Genomic DNA, 18,086 nt, shown 5'->3' on the forward strand with positions numbered 1-18,086 from the left:
CATGGTGTTGAGCCTGTGAGTGCACAGAAGTCAAGAACTGGGGTTTGGGACCCTCCTCCTAGATTTCAGAAAATGTAGGGAAATGCCTGGATGCACAGAAAGAAGTTTTCTGCAGGGGCGGGGCCCTCATGGAGAACCTCTGCTAGGGCATTGTGGAAGGGAAATGTGGAGTCAGAGCCTCCACAGAGAGTCCCTACTGGGGTATCTCCTAGTGGAGCTGTGAGAAGAGGGCCACCATCCTCCAGGCCCCAGAATGGTAGATCCAACAGCAGCTTGCACCCGTCACCTGGAAAAGCCACAGACACTCAATGCCAGTCTGTGAAAGCAGCCAGGAGAAGGGCTATACATGCAAAGCCACAAGGGCAGAGCTGCTCAAGACCATGGGAACCTTCCTCTTGCATCAGTGTGATCTGGATGTGAGACATGGAATCAAAAGAGATCATTTTGGAGCTTTAAGCTTTGACTGCCCCACTGGATTTCAGACTTGCATGGGGCCTGTAGCCCTTTTGTTTTGGCCAATTTCTCCCATTTGGAATGGCTGTATTTACCCAATGCCTGTACCCCCATTGTATCTAGGAAGTAACTTACTTGCTTTTGATTTTACAGGCTCATAGATAGAAGGGGCTTGCCTTGTCTTGGATGAGACTTTGGACTGTGGACTTTTGAGCTAATGCTGAAATGAGTTAGGACTTTGAGGGACTGTTGGGACGGCATGATTGATTTTGAAATGCGAAGATAGGAGATTCGGGAGGGGCCAGGGGTGGAATGATATGGTTTGGCTCTGTGTCTCCACCCAATTCTCATCTTGTAGCTCCCATAATTCCCGTGTGTTGTGGGAGGAACCTGGTGAGAGATGATTGAATCATCAGGGTGGGTCTTTCCCATGCTGTTCTCATGATAGAGAATGGGTCTCATGAGATCTGATGGTTTTAAGAAACGGGAGTTTCGGCTGGGCATGGTGGCTCCTGCCTGTAATCCCAGCACTTTGGGAGGCTGAGGTGGGTGGATCACCTGAGGTCAGGAGTTTGAGACCAGCCTGGCCAACATGGTGAAACCCTGTTTCTACTAAAAATATAAAAATTAGCCGGGTGTGATGGTGCACACCAGCTACTTGGGAAGCTGAGGCAAGAGAATCATTTGAACCCGGAAGGCAGAGGTTGTAGTGAGCTGAGATCACACCACTGCACTCCAGCCTGCTGGGTGACAGAGTGAGACTCTGTCTCAAAAAAAAAAAAAAAAAGAAATGAGAGTTTCTCTGTACAAGGTTTTTTTTTGCTTGTCACCATCCATGTAAGTTGTGACTTGCTTCTCCTTGCCTTCTGTCATGATTGTGAGGCATTCCCAGCCATATGGAACTGTAAGTCATTAAACCTCTTTCTTTTGTAAATTGCCCAGTCTCCGCTATGTCTTTATCAGCAGCATGAAAATGCACCAATACAAGGTCCAAGTGGCCCTGTGCCTTAACTTACTGGCAGGACTAGGATCAGAACTCTCCTCTTCCAGGTTTTATAGGAAGCAGGGCAGTGTGGGGTAGTGGTTAGGAGCAAAGAGGAGAGCCAGGCCATCTAGGTTTGAATCTTGACTCTTGTTACTTATCATCTGTGTGACCTGGAGCAAGTTAATTTCTCTCTCTGTGCCCAGTTTCTCGATTATAAGACATGTCTAGAGACAGCATCTACCTCAGAGACCTGTTTTAAGTATTGGAATGGTTACTATTTCCAGGGCTCAGATATGGTAAGTATTTGCCCAAGATCACATAGACAGGAAGAGGCAGATCCAGAAATGGAACCCAAATCTGCTGGATCCTGAAACCTGAGCTTTTTCTCCCTCCAACCCTAGCCATGCTACCTTCCTCAGCCCACACAAGGAAATTTTTTCTGCTACTGTCTAGGGCATGGGGGTCTCCCTTGGTCAAGCCTGTGTGTGCTAGACACTTGAGAATTTTCTGTCTTCACACATGGGGAAATGGAGGCACAGTACTGTCACAGTGACATGTCGCCCCAGGAAGGGGTACTGAGTAGCTGAGCCTGTGCCAGATGTCTTTTGGGTCAAGCACTTGAGATGAAAGTAACCAAATAGTATGCTCAAATGCTGCTCCAATTATCCCCCGGGGGGTCAGCTTGGGCCTAGGGCTCTGTCAAGGAGGCTGGGTTGACTAGTCAAAGTGCCCCTCTTCCTGGCTTCAGAGGCATCCTGAGCCTGCCAGCCATTGTGCAAAGGAAGGCCCTGAGGGAAGGAGCAGGAGAGCCTGGGTGAAGGAGAGCCAGGAAAAGTATCCTGCCCTCCCAGCTGAGACAGAGGGCCTGCCTGGGGCTCCCTGTCCTGCACACACCTCCCATCAGCCTGCTCAGGTACCCGGGATGCTGACATGCTGAATCCTTGAACAACCTTTCCTTAGGTCTGGCTGTCGCCTTCCTGCCCATCAGGGATGTATAAATAGATTTTAGCTGCACCTATTTTTGCCCCCAAAAGATGCTGATGGCCTGAGCTGTTCCTAATCTCATGCCAGGTCAGGATGGTGTCCCTGTCTCAGAAACTATGGTGGGTTAGAGGTTCAGAGCTGGGATGAGAAGCAGCGGGTGGAGAGGGGGCGGCTGAGTCAGAAATGTGCATGTAGGGCCACCATCTGCTGGGCCTTGGCTGAGGTTCCAGAGCTGTGGAGAGAGGGGCAGAGGAGGTGACCCAGGCTTAGAGCTCAGCCGTGAGTGTCAGAAGACACAGGACACAGTGAGCATGGCTGTGACTGTAGATCCTGGCTCTGCCACTTGTCAGCTAGCTGAACTTTGGCAACCTCTTGGAGCCTCAGCTTTCTCATCTGAAAATGGAGGAGAATCATACCTCCCTCTCAGGAGGGCCTTAAAAAAGGTATCAAGTCCTTAGGTTAGCACCAGCAGCAGAGCGAGGGCTGGCTTGAAGGCAGCAAGACAGACTTCTGGAACCAAACTCTTTGGGTTAAAAGCCTCACGGTGTCACTTACAGGTTGTGTCCCCTGGGGGGCAGGGTAGGGGGGTACTTAACCTCTCTGCTCTTCAGTTTCCTCATCTGTAAAATAGACATAGTAATGGTTAAATGTTTCATGCAATTGTTATAAGAATTTAAATGGCTTAATGCTTACAAGGCACTTAGAACAATGCTTGACACAAATCATGAGCACCTACTAAATACATAGCTGACATGCTTGTTCATGCTTATAAACCTATGCACTATGCAGTTTTACCTGTTGAAATTCCTTCCCAGCATCTGATGAACAAATCCTCCTTGAAACTGTCATCCCTCCGTCTTCTAAGGATGATACCTTAAATTTTGTTTTTCTTCATGTGACGCTAACTGCATGGCATCCCCTCACCTTCGTGTCTCCTTCTTCTTGGAATGTCAGCTGGGGCTTCCTGAGTCTGTAGAACTCCGAACACTCATCCCATGTACTCTGATCTCCAGGCACTCATTCATTCATTTATTCACTCATTCATTCATCAAACACAAATGGGCATCTCTCATGTCCCTGCATTAGGGACTGGAGGTATAGGAAGAAAAGCCAAGTGTTCTCTGCCTTCAAGGAGCTCACGAATGGAGAGATGGAAACTAAAAAGTAAGAAAATATATCATTAAAGTGGACTTTAATAAGTTATATAATAAGGGGGAAATACCCTGGGTCCCATGGGAACACAAAGGCAGGGCCCTAACCTAGGCTAGGGAGTTGGGAAGAGTCCTCTGGAAGAGGTGACATCCCCTGAGGGGCGCCCTGTCCCAGCCAGGGCAGCATTCTTTCTCCTTTTTTTTTTTTTCTTTTTTGAGACGGAGTCTCACTCTGTCACCCAGGCTAGAGTGCAACCTCTGCCTCCTGGGTTTGAGTGATTCTTGTGCCTCAGCCTCCCACGTAACTGGGATTACAGGCATGCACCACTATGGCTGGCTAATTTTTGGATTTTTAGTAGAGACGGGGTTTCACCATGTTGACCAGGCAGGTCTTGAACTCCTGACCTCAACTGATCCACCCGCCTTGGCCTACCAAAGTGCTGGGATTATAGGCATGAGCCAATGTGCAGGGCAGCTTTCTTATTGAGCACGGTCAGATGCTGCCAGCCTGTCTGCTGCTGCCCAGCCTCGCCAAGGTGCTGGCCAGGTCTGGCTGTAGCCCTGCGGCCCACCCTCGTTCTCACCCTCCTCACATTTGGCTGCCCCTCAGTTTCTCATCCCCACCTGTTCCCTCCCACCCCAAGGCCTTTCCTGTGCCATCCCCTCTGTCTGCAGTATTCTTCCTTCCCCACTGTGGCTCGCAGTTAATGACCTCTCCTTTTAGATCTTGATGCAATTGTGACTTCCTCCAGGGAGCCTTCCCTGACCACCCTGACTAGATCAAATCCCCCACTGCAGATGCTCCTAGAACTATGTGCTCCTATCTTGTAGTTCTGACATACACATCATGTGATATCTAATTCTCATCTCTCCTATGGATCAAAAACAGGATTTAAAAAATAACAGAATTAATAAATAATAAATGAAAAGCTAGGAACATGTGCATGTTAATCCTGAGACACTATGGAAATTTCTGCTTCCCTTTAAAGTCATTTAAAATAATCATTTATTTATAATTATTTATAACTATCATTTACCATATATAATAAATTGCTAAAGGGTTCATTTGTTTCTTTTTTCAATCATTCCACACATATTAATTAAGCACCTGCTTTGGGTCAGGTGCAATTTCCAGCACTAGGAGGAGAAAGCAGTGAAAGATATGATCCCTACCCTCTGGAGCTTACATTTGGGTAGAGAAGACAGAATAAAGAAACAAACACCATTTTGGACATAGGCCCTGGCAAAGATTTCATGCAAAGCAATTGCAACAATCACAAATTGACAAATGGGACCTAATTAAACTAAAGAGCTTCTACACAGCAAAAGAAGCTATCAACAGAGTAAACAGACAATCTACAGAATGGGAGAAAATATTTGCAAACTATGCATCTGACAAAGGTCTAATATCCAGAATCTATAAGGAACTTAAACAAATTAACAAACAAAAAACCAAACAGCCCCATGAAAAGTGGGCAAAAGACATGAAGAGACACTTCTCAAAAGACGACATCCATCTGGCCAACAAGTATATGAGAAAATGCTCAACATCACTAATCATAAGAGAAATACAAATCAAAACCGCAATGAGATACCATCTCATACGAGTCAGAATGACTATCATTAAAAAGTCAAAAAATAAGGCCAGGCACGGTGGCTCACGCCTGAAATCCCCAGTGCTTTGGGAGGCTGAGGTGGGTGGGTCACCTGAGGTCAGGAGTTTGAGGCCAGCCTGGCCAACATGGTGAAACCCCGTCTCTACTAAAAATACAAAAAATCAGCTGGGCATGGTGGTAGGCACCTGCAATCCCAGACACCTGGGAGGCTGAGGCAGGAGAATCACTTGAACCTGGGAGGAGGAGTTTGCAGTAAGCTGAGATCACGCCATTGCACTCCAGCCTGGGCAAGAAGAGCAAAACTCCATCTCAAAAAAAAAAAAAAAAGTCAAAAAATAACACATGCTGCAAGGCTGCGGGAAGAGGAATGCTTACACATTGCTGATGGAAATGCAAATTAGTTCAGTCATTGTGGAAAGTAGTCTGACGATTTCTCAAAGAACTTAAAACAGAACTACCGTTTGACTTACCAATCCCATTACTGGGTTATATACCCAAAGGCATATAAATTGTTCTACCCTAAAGAGGCACACATATGTATGTTCATTACAGCACTATTCACAATAGAAAAGACATGGAATCAACCTAAATGCTCATTTATGGTGGAGTGGATAAAGAAAATGTGGTACATATATACCATAGAATACTATACAGCCATGAAAAAGAACGAGATCACGTCCTTTGAGCAACATGGATGAAGCTGGAAGCCATTATCCTGAGTGAATTAATGCCGAAACAGAAAAGCAAATACAGCATCTTCTCGTGTATAAGTGGGAGCTAAACACTGAGTACACATGGACATAAAGAAGGGAACAATAGACACCAGGGCCTACTTGAGGGTGGAGGGTAGGAGGAGGGTCAGGATTGAAAAACTACCTATAGGGTACTATGCTTATTAGCTGGGTGACAAAATAATCTATACGCCAAACCCTCAGACACTCAATTTACCTATATAAGAAACCTGCACATATACCCTTCAACAATTTGAAAAGTTAGAAAGAAAAGAAAAAAGAAACAAACAGCAGGGCATGCTGGCTCACGCCTGTAATCCCAGCAGCTTGGGAGGCTGAAGTGGGAGGATGGCTTGAGGCCAGGAGTTGGGAGTTAGAGACCACCTTGGGCAACAAAGAGAGACCCTGTCTCTGCAAAAAATGTTTTTAAAATTTAGCCATGTGTGGTGGCATGTGCCTGTGGTCCCAGCTACTTAGGAGGCTGAGGCAGAAGGATCATTTGAGCCCAGGAGTTTGGAGGCTGCAGTGAGCTAGGATGGCACCACTGCACTCCTGGCTGAGCAACAGAGAGAGACTTTGTCTGTAAAACCAAACCAAACAAACAAATGCCTAAAGAAGGAAGCCACAGACTTTGGAAAGCAGCCGGTTGTCACGGCCCCCCAGCTATAGGACTTTATTACAAAAGTCCCACTAGGGGCTCACTAGGAGCTCTCAGTGAGGATGACATTGGTTCTAGAAAAACAGGAAATCTCTTTGGAAAAGTCCAGCCAGTGGACTGGGCTCTAGCCACTGTGAAATGACTCCCCTGCTATAGGCTGTTGTCTCTTATTAGTAACCAGATGCTCCAGGAGCAGCAGGCTGGCTGGCCTCTGAGGTGACAGAACACCTGAGGCCCCAGCTGGCGGGGGATGAGGACAGGGCTGCTCTCTGGTGCCAAGTGTCCTTCTTAGCTGGTCAGAGTGCTGCTGTTGGCTAAGGATCCCTGTGGCCTGACACTCCCCTGCTTCAGCAGCCAGGAGCGGGAATTGAAGGTGGAGCTGGCCAATCCGTTGTGACAGGGAGTGCTGCAGCCCTTGAAACCTGAGGAGAGCTGAGCCTTTTCCTCGCTCACCCGTCCCAGGCTGAACTTTCAGCTTCGGATCTTTGCTGTACTGAATGGGGGACCCATTAGAGTGCGTACAGGGTGACAGGGAAAGGCTGAGACTGCCCTATGGAAGATGGATTTGTGGGGTGGAGCTGGAGTGTGGGGTGAGGAGCCTCCTCCTCAGATTTGATGAATTGATGTGCGGTACAGTGTCCTTTATGGACTCATAATAACCCCTGCCAACTCTCTGGTTCGTTCAACAAATGTTTATTGAGCTCCTACTACCTGCCAGACCCGCAGCGTGCCGGGTGCTCGGGATACCACAGTGAAGGAGATGTGGTCCCCAGCATCCCTAGTGGGTAACAGTTATCCCCATTTGGGTAACATATTGTTCTTTCTAAGCATTTGTCAGGATCTCGACTGATACTAGTCAAAAGCCTGTGAATCCCATAAAGTATTACTGTTGTTCCCATTTGAAGGGCGGGAGAGGGGAGACAGAGAGAGGCCTTGCTTAAGGGAAGCTAGGTAGAACCAGGTCCTGTTTAGTCTTTTCACTGACCCCCTGCCAAGGGGAGTCAGGGAACTGATACTTTATATGCTATTTTTTTCCTTACTTATTTTTTGGTTTGGTTTGAGGCAGGGTCTCACTCTGTCACCCAGGCTAGAGTGCAGTGGCCTGATCTTGGCTCACTGCAGCCTCGATCTCCTGGGCTCAAGCCTCCCACCTCAGCCTCCTATGTAGCTGGGACTACCAAAGTGCACCACTATGCCTGGCTAATGTTTTTTGTTTTGTTTTTTGAGATGGAGTCTTGCTCTTGTCGCCCAGGGTGGAGTGCAATGGCACGATCTTGGCCCACTGCAACCTCCGCCTGCTGGGTTCAAGTGATTCACCTGCCTCAGTCTCCTGAGTAGCTGGGATTACAGGCACCCGCCACCATGCCAGGCTAATTTTTTTGTATTTTTGGTAGAGATGGGGTTTTGCCATGTTGGCCAGGCTGGTCTGGAACTCCTGACCCCATGATTCGCCCACCTCAGCCTCCCAAAGTGCTGGGATTATAGGCATGAGCCACCACAGCCAGCCACTTGGCTAATTTTTTAAATTTTTTTTGTAGAAATGAGGTCTCATTATGTTGCCCAGGCTGGTCTTGAACCCCTGGCTTCAAGCAACCCTCCCACCTTGGCCTCCCAAAGTGCTGGGATTACAGGTATGAGCCACTGCACCTGGCCTATATTATTGGTTTTTAATGATTCACCCTAACCATTAGAGTCTGATAGCAAAACCTGATGAATCAGGGAAGGCTTCATGGAACTTCTGAGCTTGTTTTCTCTATTCACTATTTCATTTCTGGCACCTTCTTGTTGAATGAAACCGATGCCCTTCACAGGCAAGAGGATAGATTAGAGACCTATTTAAAGTTCTTGCTTTCACCATGCAGGTCACACCCTGATACCCATCTTGAAAAGCCCTGCTTAGAAGGTCTTACTGGCTGGACGCAAACACAGCTTGATTTGAAGCTGAAAGGCCTCCCTGGTTACACGTAAGCTTCTTGAGGGTCAGAGACATCACTTGGGCTTCTGTGCCTCCCAGTACTAAAGAGCACACACGCTGTTCCTCACATAGGCGCTCAATAAACCCTAATTGATTCGTTGATTGGGAACAACAATTATATCGTTGAAGTGCCTGGAAAGACAATCTCCCAGGGCTGCCAGCCAGCTGGGGGCTCAAGGGACAGGTGATTTCAAATCAATGTGCTTGCTCATCCCCAAGGCAAAGTTTAAAACGGATGACTGAAGCATTCTTTTAGAACAGTGCAAAACTGCAAACATGCAAATAGCCAGCAGTAGGGGGATAGCTAAGCTAACTGGGTTATATTAAGATTCTGGAAGACTCTACAGTTATTTTAAAAAGCAAGTATGTTGTCTATTTTAATACAGAGAAATGTGTATCAGGTACCAAAATGGGAGAAGCAGAATTTGAAAAGAATGTAGAAATAAACATACACTTAGAAAGACAAGAAGAAAAGGTGACCATGTAGTAGTTCCCCATACCCCGCCTCCCTTTTTTTGTAAAGTTCATTCAGCAAAAGGGATGGTTATAACAGGGTCATGTCTCTCATACTGTGTGGTGTCATGGGAGGAGTCCCTGGGCCAGATCACCAGATGACCCAGGGATCCTGGTGCGGCTAATTATGGACCATGTGGCCTTGAACAACCTACTCTCCCTATCCTCAGTTTGTTATCTGTGAGGTGTGAATTATAACACTTGTCTTGCCTATCTTGCCAGGTAAGGCTGTAAGGAAATTAAGAGTCTTTATCTGCCAGGCGCAGTGGCTCACACCTGTAATCCCAGCACTTTGGGAGACCGAGGCAGGTGAATCATGAGGTCAGGAGTTCGAGACCAGCCTGGCCAACACAGTGAAACCCCCGTCTCTACTAAAAGTACAAAAATTAGCCGGGCATGATGGCGCACACCTGTAGTCCCAGGTACTCGGGAGGCTGACACAGGAGAATTGCTTGAACACGGGAGGCAGAGGTTGTGGTGAGCCAAGATTGCACCACTGCTTTCCAGCCTGGGCAACAGTGAGACTCCGTCTCAAAAAACAAACAAACAAACAAAAAGGCTCTTTACCCCATGTAGTAGGATATTCATAGATTTCTGTGTAGAAATAATGATGTGTTTGACTATGGGGTGCTGACTGACACCTAGCTTATACAGCATATAAATGTTTTACCTTTCTGGAATCCAAAAAGTCTTGCAAAATCCCATGGGTTCGGGGTAAGGGATCACGGTCCTGTATAAAGCATTTTAGACATTTTTTATTTAACTCAACCTTCACAATAATCCTATAGAGTAGGTTTTACCATCTCCATTTTACAGATGAGAAAACTTGTGTGTAGAGAGGTTAAGTAATTTGCCTTCCTATTCATTATAAATAGTACAGGCTAAATGAGGACCATTCTAAAGCCCATAATTTTGGTCATTATGACCTCGCCAGCAGGATTCCAGAAATGCTTGCTGGAGTGGCATCTCCTTGCATTTTCCTTGTGAAACAAATGAAGGAGAATGTCTCTCCTAATAGTTGACATTGATTGGGTGCTAAGCACTCTACAGTCATTGCCTCTTTTAATCTCCACCACTCTGGGAGGTCTAGACTATTATTGGCCACATTTTCAGATGAGGAAACTGAGTCTCAGACAGGTTACATAACATGCCCACTTGAGTCAGGAACCTGGGATTCAAACTCCAGTCTAATGACTCCAAAGCCTGGGGTATTGAATCTTTGTTGGGCAATCAGGAAGTTCCCAGGGGTACATGGAGCATAAACAGCCACATTCCAGAAAGGCTGAGAAAGAGGGTGGTTGCAATCAGAGTTATGAACCTGGAGCAATCTAGCCCCTTCCATTTTCTGGTACTTTCCCTTCCCTCCCCAGCCCTTACCCTCACTCTCCCTCCTTCTGGACAACAAAGTCAGCTGTCATCTCAAGGATATGAAACGTAAGCCAGGATTGGGTGTCACATGCCCTCAGCAGAGTCATAGGAAGAAAAAAAAAAAACTAGAAACAATGCACAGTCAGAAGAAGAAAAGTTGTTTCTTAGGCTGCTCAGGGCACATGCAAAGGCAGAAACAATGAGATAGTCCTGCAAAAGGTGCCATCTGGTCCTGCTGGTCAGCAAATCTGAGATCCTGGGAGAACAGATTGAGTGAAAGTCAGCAAAATAACACTAAATAACACCTGATGTCATTTTGTTTTTATTTCTGAAAGGATCCAAGGAACAGGCTTTCCCTTGGAGTTTGAAGAGGGCCGGGCGAGGTTCTGCCTCCTGTTCTGACCTTTGGCTTTGATTGGGCAGGTCAAGTTGTCCCTGGAGCTGCCCAGTGGGCAAGCCAGGGAGGCTCTGGGCACCAGCTGTCCTTGACTGCCTGTCCCTGAAGAACTCCTGGGGACTCTACTGCAGAAAAGGACAACAGCTAAATCAGGCATAGACTGTAACAGGCGAGGTCTCCTGGAGGTGGGGTAGGGGTTAGATGAGAGATACTAGCTCAGAGCATGAGCAGCATTTCATGAAGGTTAGGATGGGGGAGTGTGAGGGTTAAAGATATGATCACAGGTGATGGTCACATGTTTACAAAGAAGTCAGATGTGTGGCAGGGATCTGGATTGTCCCCATGCAGAAAGTTCTCACTGCTGTATAGAGAATGGGGAAAGGGACTGGTTGCAACTAACTGAAGTAATTTTCTTTTTGCTTTTAAATTTTTAGAGAGCCAGGTTCTTACTCTATCACCCAGGCTGGAGCTCAGTGATCATAGCTCACTGCAGCCTTGTACTACTGGGCTCAAGCAATCCTCCTGCCTCAGCCTCCCAAGTAGCTAGGCCTACAGCCATGAGCCACCACACCTGGCTAATTTCTTTAAAAAACAGAGATAGGGTCTTGCTATGTTGCCCAAGCTAGTCTCAAACTCCTGAGCTCAGGCAATCCTCCCACCTCAGCCTCCCAAAGCTCTGGGATTGCAGGCGTGAGCCACCACGCCCGGCCAACAAAGAAATTTACTGGAAAGCTGTGAGGGGCACCTCGTGGAGTCAAAGGAAAGGCTGAAGAGCAAACTAAGAGGACAACAAAAAGCCAAACACCTCCAAGGATCCAGGTAGCAGGAGTTATTGGACAGTCTGTTTAGGTTTTGTGTTGAGATTCAAATCAAGGGAAAGAGGTTGAGTATTCTGGTTTGGGTTAGAAGTCCATCCTTGGCCTGGGGAGAAGAGGACCCACCAATACCATAGCCAATGGGAAAGGGGTCATTCTGCAAAGCAGGAAATAACTGTATTGCAATTAGTAAGGATGCTGTAAGCTTCCACTAGCTGGCATTACTAATTCATCCTGATTTGCCTGGTTTTGCCAGTGAAAGCTTCATGTCCTAGGAAACCCCTCAGTCCCAAGCAAACCAAGTCAGCTGGTCATCCTACAACCAACAGGGTGGTGATCCTGAGTTGGCTGTGAAAAATCCCTGTGGCAATGCCCAGAGGCAATGCCCAACTGGACATGGTGGCTCACACCTGTAATCCCAGCACTTTGGGAGGCCGAGGTGGGAGGATCACTTGAGCTCAGGAGTTCAAGACCAGCCTGGGCAATATAGTGAGACCTCATCTCTATTTTTAATTAAAAATTTTTTTCAAATATATTAAAAACCAAAGGCAATGCCCACAAGACTTAATAATGTGGATGTCTAATATTCCATTTTAAGATGTTTGCTGGAGCTGGGCGCGGTGGCTCACGCCTGTAATCCCAGCACTTTGGGAGGCTGAGGCGGGTGGATCACAAGGTCAGGAGATCGAGACCATCCTGACTAACACGATGAAACCTTGTCTCTACTAAAAATACAAAAAATTAACTGGGCGTGGCGGCACGCGCCTGTAGTCCCAGCTACTAGGGAGGCTGAGGCAGGAGAATCGCTTGAACCTGGGAGGCGGAGGTTGCAGTGAGCCAAGATTGCGCCACTGCACTCTAGCCTGGGAGACAGAGTGAGACTCCGTCTCAAAAAAAAAAAAAAAAAAAAAAAAAAGATTGCTGTGCCGAGCTAGCATCTAATGCTGGCTGCTCTAGACCATCAGCAGAGTTAACTTTTGCACTCAGCCTAGGGGGAGGCTAGAATGTGCTCCCAGTGAACTCAACTAACTACATCTGAGCTAAATACACCAAACTAAGTCTCAGAGAGGCTCAGTCTCTTGTCCAAAGTCATATAGACAGTAAGCGGTAGAGACAGGGTTAGAACAAAAGTCTGTCTGAGTCAATACCTCTGCTACATCTTCCCTACCTTTGCCCTACTCTGGGAAGGTCCAATACTGCCAACAACCTTGAGACTCCAAGGATCTGTGGGACTTGAGCTCCCAGGTAGCTTCAGGAGGGCCTCAACAGGCCCAGCTCACAGAGGTTAGTGTGCATGAGGTGGCGCAGGGTGTGTGTATGTGTGAGAGTGTGTGTGTGTGTGTATGTGAGACAGAGAGAAAGAGAGCAGCCCTGCACCTGCACCACCTGGCCTGGTGCAATCTACCCCAGGGTAGGAGTGCTTATGTAGTAGGTACAGAGAAAGTTTTGCCAAAACAAAACAGATCCATATTTCCAGTCCCGCTGACCGCAATCCATGACCTCTGAGAGAACAGGATGGAGGCTAAGGGTACCTGGGACCCCAGGCTCTCCCTGCAGCCTCCCCTGGCCTGTGCCCCCATCCTCAGAATGGGGTTTCCTGGAAGGGGCTGGGTGAGGCCCCACAGGTCTTCCTTAAAAGCACTCCATCACCCTCTGTCCATCACATCCATCACCCTCTGTCCCCCTGCCCCCACCCTCCAGAGCCCTACAGGCTCTGACCCCTGCCTGCTTCTCTCACCTGCATCCTGTACTCCTCCTCACCCTCGCCCCCACCACGCAGCAGCCACACCAGCCTTTTATCTGTACCTCAAACTCTTCGAGCTCATTCGCATCTTTGCCTCTTGTACCAGCTGTTTCCTCTGCACAAAACACTCTCCCTGCACCTTCACAGGGGGACTGTCATCACGATCCAGGCTTCAGACTAAATAGCATCTCTTCTGGCAGACCTTTTGGGGCTACCCAGTCTAGAGAAGCTCCCTATTCATTTGCACACCACCCTGTTTTAATTGTATCACGATCTGTTATTTTCGCAAGTTCTGTTCTCTGTGTGTTCTCAGCCTTCACACATGCTGTGCTTTCAACCTGGAGTGCCTGCTCTTCACCTCACCTCAAGCTTCACCCCCTGTCCTGGCTAAATCAGACACAGAAATATTTCCTGATCTCCCCTTCTAGATCTGGGTTAATCCCTCTTTCCCTAACAGTGAGCCATCGGAGTTGTCGGCACCCTGTAATTCCACTGAAGTCATCCTACAGCAAGGACACAGGAATCTGTCTTGCTCCCTGCTGTGCCACAGGCCTAGCGCAGGGAGGTCCTGGTGCACAGCAGGTGAATGGATGACCAAAGTCAGCTGCGTTGACAACACTGGAAGAATGTAGCCACTCTGCTGGTGACCGGCACACAGAGGGCTTCCAGGCGCCAGGACTGGGTTTGTAAACTGAAGGCAGAGCGAGGGGAAGCTCCACGGAGATAGAAACCAATGTTGCCAGCTTTAAGTGAGCTCATCAGTCTCCAGTTGGGCTAAGAGGAGAAAGAGTGTTCCAGGGAGAGGTAACATAGGGGCCGAAGGCCCAGAGGCAGTGAACGGGAGCTGCAGGGAGAACTACAAGTCAGTCTCCCTGGATGGCACAGGGCTGGGGCAGAGGCGAGAAATGAGGCCAAACCACAAAAGGTTTGTAAGCCTCGCTAAGGTGTCGAGCTTGATCCTTAGGGTAATGGGAAATCATTAAAGAGTCTGAAGTAGGGAGTGAAATGGTCAGATCTGCATCTAAACAGAAACTTCACAACAGGTACAGGTATATCTTGGGATGCCTAAATCCTTGCGTTCCCTCCCAGATGACCACACACTGTGCTTCCAGCTTTCACTCCTCATGGAATTCCTAAGTGGGTACAAAATGCAAGGGCTTCAGCAGAAATCTGCTTCTCGACCCCTATACTGGGTTGAATGGTGGCCCACCAAAAAGATGTAGCCACGTCCAAGCCCCCTGAAGCTGTGAATGTTACCTTATTTTGAAAAGGGGTCTTTGCAGTTGTAATTAAGGATCTTAAGATGAGATCATCCTGGATTACCCGGGTGGGCCCTACATGCAATGGTAAGTGTCTTTTTAAGAGACAGAAGAGGAGGAGGCCATGTGACCACAGTGGCAGAAATGGGAGTGATGCTGCCACAAGCCTAGGAAGCCAAGGATTGCCGGCAGCCACCAGAGACTGGAAGAGGCAAGGCCAGATCCTCCCCTAAAGCCTCAGAGGAGATGCAGCCTGCTGATGCCTTGATTTGACTTCTGCCTTCCAGAAGTGTGACAGAACACAGTTCCATTGTTTAGAGCTACTCATTTTGTGGTAATTTGTTACAGCAGTCCTAGGACACTGATACAACCCCATACTTTAACTAAGAAGCTTCAGCCCCAGGACCCTTCGCCATCTGGTGGACCCTTCTAAACCAGAAAACTTCCTTTCTGTTTGGAAGCTGTAATTGTGACAGAGGCAAAGAGCCAGACCATATCATCTGCGGATCTCCTTCTCTGTAATGTTTGGCACTAAAAGGCTACCTTTGCCCAAACCAAGAAAGTGTATTACCAGAATGAAACAATGGGTGGATCAGTGGAGCTGGGTCTTTGGCCAAGGCCGGAAGACTCTAAGAGGGAAATGCTGGCAGGGCTCTGCAGGGATTAATGGTTTGGAAAGAGGGAGGAGGACAGTGAGCTGCTCTATGGTGGTGGGCACAGAAATGGCATGGATGGTTGTTGTCTAAATAGATTCCTAGCTTCAAGTTCCCAAAAGAGCCTGGGAACTGGTGTTCTGGAACACTCAGCCTGGCCTTTAGGGTGGGTTCACTAAGACTCCACTTGTCAAGAGTTTCTTAAAGCACTCACTACGTGCTTCCTTTGTTCGGCACTGTACCCAGCTAGGCACCTTGCAGGGCACAGTAAATGTCTGCACTTCTGGACAATAAGATTCCAGCCTGGGCCAGGCACAGTGGCTCACCCCTGTAATCTCAACATGTTGGGAGGCCAAGGCAGGTGGATCACCTGAGGTCAGGAGCTCAAGACTAGCCTGGCCAACATGGCAAAACCCCATCTCTATTAAAAATACAAAATAATTAGCCGAGCATGGTGGCACGGGCCTGTAATCCCAGCTACTCAGGAGGCTGAGGCAGGAGAATCACCTGAACCCGGGAGGTGGAGGTTGCAGTGAGCCGAGATCGCGCCACTGCACTCCAGCCTGGGCGACAGAGGGGGACCCAATCTCAAAAAAAAAAAAAAAAAAAAAAGACTCCAGCCTATCTCTGAAAGTATCAGTAATCAACCTATCAACCTTTGAGTGTGTGAAAAGTGTCTCTTCCTGGAAGAATCCTTACCCAACCCCGTAGACAGCCAGGGTCCTCTGTTAGAGCTTCTTTTCTGGAGGATTGGTCAACGTTGTAATGTTATGGGCTTCCCTTCAACATCTTCAGCATCACAGGAACTAGCCTGGTCCTTGGCTCACTGCAGGTATCTAATAAGGAGTTGATGAGTTAAACAGGTCAGTTCTCAGTCCTATCTGGGTTTTCAGAAGGCACCAGCAGAAGGTTCTTATCTTGTTAGGAGAAAGGTTTCAGCTGGTAGTTTCAAACACTCTGAAGGTACTGACAGCCAGGGGCCCAGGTTTCATGCCAAGACAAGGAAATAGGATGAAAGAGAAAAGGCCCAGGGCAAAAAGAAGGCTGTGGGTGGGAAGGAGGGAGGGAGGGGAGAGGGTATCAAGGCTAAACTCAGCATTGGTAGAGGCCACAATTTCACAGCTCTCCTCCACTAGGCGGGATCTTTGTGCCAATTGTCTTAAGTCTTGGCTAAGACAGCATTCTACACCTCCTTTCTTATAACTCCCTCTCTCTCCCTTCCATCCCATTCCCAAACATTTTAATTTAACTGCAAATAGCACCCACATGAGCTGGACTCAAAAGGCATCCAGAAACTCATCAAGTACAAAGGGGTATTGGACTCACCACAAATCCTGCCCCCGGTGGAAGGTCTCTGCTTATATTGAACAAAAGAGTGTTCTGCAGAGAAATGTGGTAAATCTGGGTGGCCGACTCTTTGCCAACAGACCTCTCCCATAAAACAGAAATAATGGTGGCCATCTGAAATGGGAAGAAATGAGAGCATGCATGCAGGGCCCAAAGTTCAGTGCCTGGCCGCAGTCACGGTACTGGCAGTCTTGAGGCTAGCCTGGGAACCACAACTGCTATTTCAATTTTTTTTTTTTTAAGGTGGAGTCTTGCTCTGTCACCCAGGCTAGAGTGCAATGGTGCGATCTCGGCTCACTGCAACCTCTGCCTCCTGGGTTCAAGCGATTGTCCTGCCTCAGCCTCCCGAGTAGCTGGGATTACAGGCATACGCTACCACACCCAGCTAATTTTTGGATTTTTAGTAGAGATGGGGTTTCACCATGTTGGCCACGCTGGTCTCTAACTCCTGACCTCAGGTGATCCACCCGCCTCGGGCTCCCAGAGTGCTGGGATCATAGGCTTGAGCCACCGCACCTGGCCAGTGTTTCAATTTGTAAGACCTGGCTCCTCTAACCTGCTGTATGAGGAATCAGTCACTCCTTTTTCCTCTGTTTCCCTCCCTTGGTTGTACCGGGGCAGTCTAAACATTGCAGCCTTCTGAGACAGGCACCCAGGAAGACCAGGCAAGACTACAGTCATGTACTCACTGTCAGTAAACATTAGGCTTTCACAAAGTCCAGGCAGACTTCAGAAGACGTGGATGAAGTCCTTAGTGTTAGCTCTCCTGGGGCATTTCTCTCCACCTAGTGTTGTTAGTGCCCTTTGGATTGGGTGAGGGAGGGGTGGAGGAGGTGAGGAAGGAAAGTGTCGAGAAAGGCAGGCGCCCACTGACTAGAGTAGGGAAGTAGCTGGCACTTTGGGAGGCCGAGGCGGGTGGATCACCTGAGGTCAGGGGTTCAAGACCAGCCTGGCCAACATGGCAAAACCCCGTCTCTACTAAAAAATACAAAAATTAGCCGGGCCTGGTGGCATGCACCTGTAATCCCAGCTACTTGGGAGGCTGAGGCAGGAAAATCACTTAAACCTGGGAGGCGGAGGTTGCAGTGAGCTGGGATTGCACCACTGCACTCCAGTCTGGGTAATAGAGTGAGATTCTGTCTCAAAAATAATAATAATAATTTTTTTTAAAAAAAAAAGGGTCTTGGGCCCCCTCAGTCTTCTCGCTCGGGGACCTGCCTCTTGCCTCTTCTCTGAAGCTCCATAAAGGAGACCCTGTTTCATTTTGCTTGCCTCTTTCTATAAAATCTTGTTCTGAGAGAACTACCTTGTATATTTGTTTATGCTAACATGTAAATGACTGCTGGGGATTTATGCTATCTCATTTTCATAAGGGAAAAAGCTTTCAGCCAAAGAAATGAAAACCTTCAAGTGAGGGAGGCAGAGGGCCCTCCCGAT

The 18,086-nt window shown here is 48.0% G+C and overlaps 1 protein-coding gene and 1 long non-coding RNA gene across 4 annotated transcripts in view, besides 2 other annotated features; one reads left to right on the forward strand and one right to left on the reverse strand.

Moving 5' to 3' along the window:
• Positions 1 to 18,086, forward strand: part of GPHN (gephyrin) — a 1,227,209-nt gene that overhangs the window by 942,956 nt on the left and 266,167 nt on the right. The window lies entirely within an intron of this gene.
• Positions 1,223 to 17,614, reverse strand: LOC105370542 (uncharacterized). 3 transcript variants are annotated; one of them, XR_007064213.1, is made up of 3 exons: positions 17,339 to 17,614; positions 9,737 to 16,763; positions 1,223 to 3,579 (listed from the first exon to the last, which is right to left on the reverse strand). It is a non-coding gene; the product is annotated as an uncharacterized LOC105370542 (long non-coding RNA). The 3 variants fall into 3 exon arrangements; XR_007064214.1 differs by lacking the exon at positions 17,339 to 17,614 and having other exon boundaries at positions 9,737 to 16,138; positions 16,629 to 16,935; XR_943964.3 differs by lacking the exon at positions 17,339 to 17,614 and having other exon boundaries at positions 9,737 to 10,956; positions 16,002 to 16,261.
• Positions 6,404 to 6,905: an enhancer, noted in NCBI's record as "H3K4me1 hESC enhancer chr14:67924223-67924724 (GRCh37/hg19 assembly coordinates)". NCBI's record gives its function as "activates a minimal SCP1, AML or CMV promoter by ChIP-STARR-seq in primed H9 embryonic stem cells {active_cell/tissue: H9 hESC(primed)}" and the evidence as "EXISTENCE:reporter gene assay evidence [ECO:0000049][PMID:30033119]".
• Positions 6,906 to 7,405: an enhancer, noted in NCBI's record as "H3K4me1 hESC enhancer chr14:67924725-67925224 (GRCh37/hg19 assembly coordinates)". NCBI's record gives its function as "activates a minimal SCP1, AML or CMV promoter by ChIP-STARR-seq in primed H9 embryonic stem cells {active_cell/tissue: H9 hESC(primed)}" and the evidence as "EXISTENCE:reporter gene assay evidence [ECO:0000049][PMID:30033119]".

Source organism: Homo sapiens, chromosome 14 (assembly GCF_000001405.40).
Source record: "Homo sapiens chromosome 14, GRCh38.p14 Primary Assembly".
NCBI classification, from domain to species: Eukaryota; Metazoa; Chordata; class Mammalia; order Primates; family Hominidae; genus Homo; species Homo sapiens.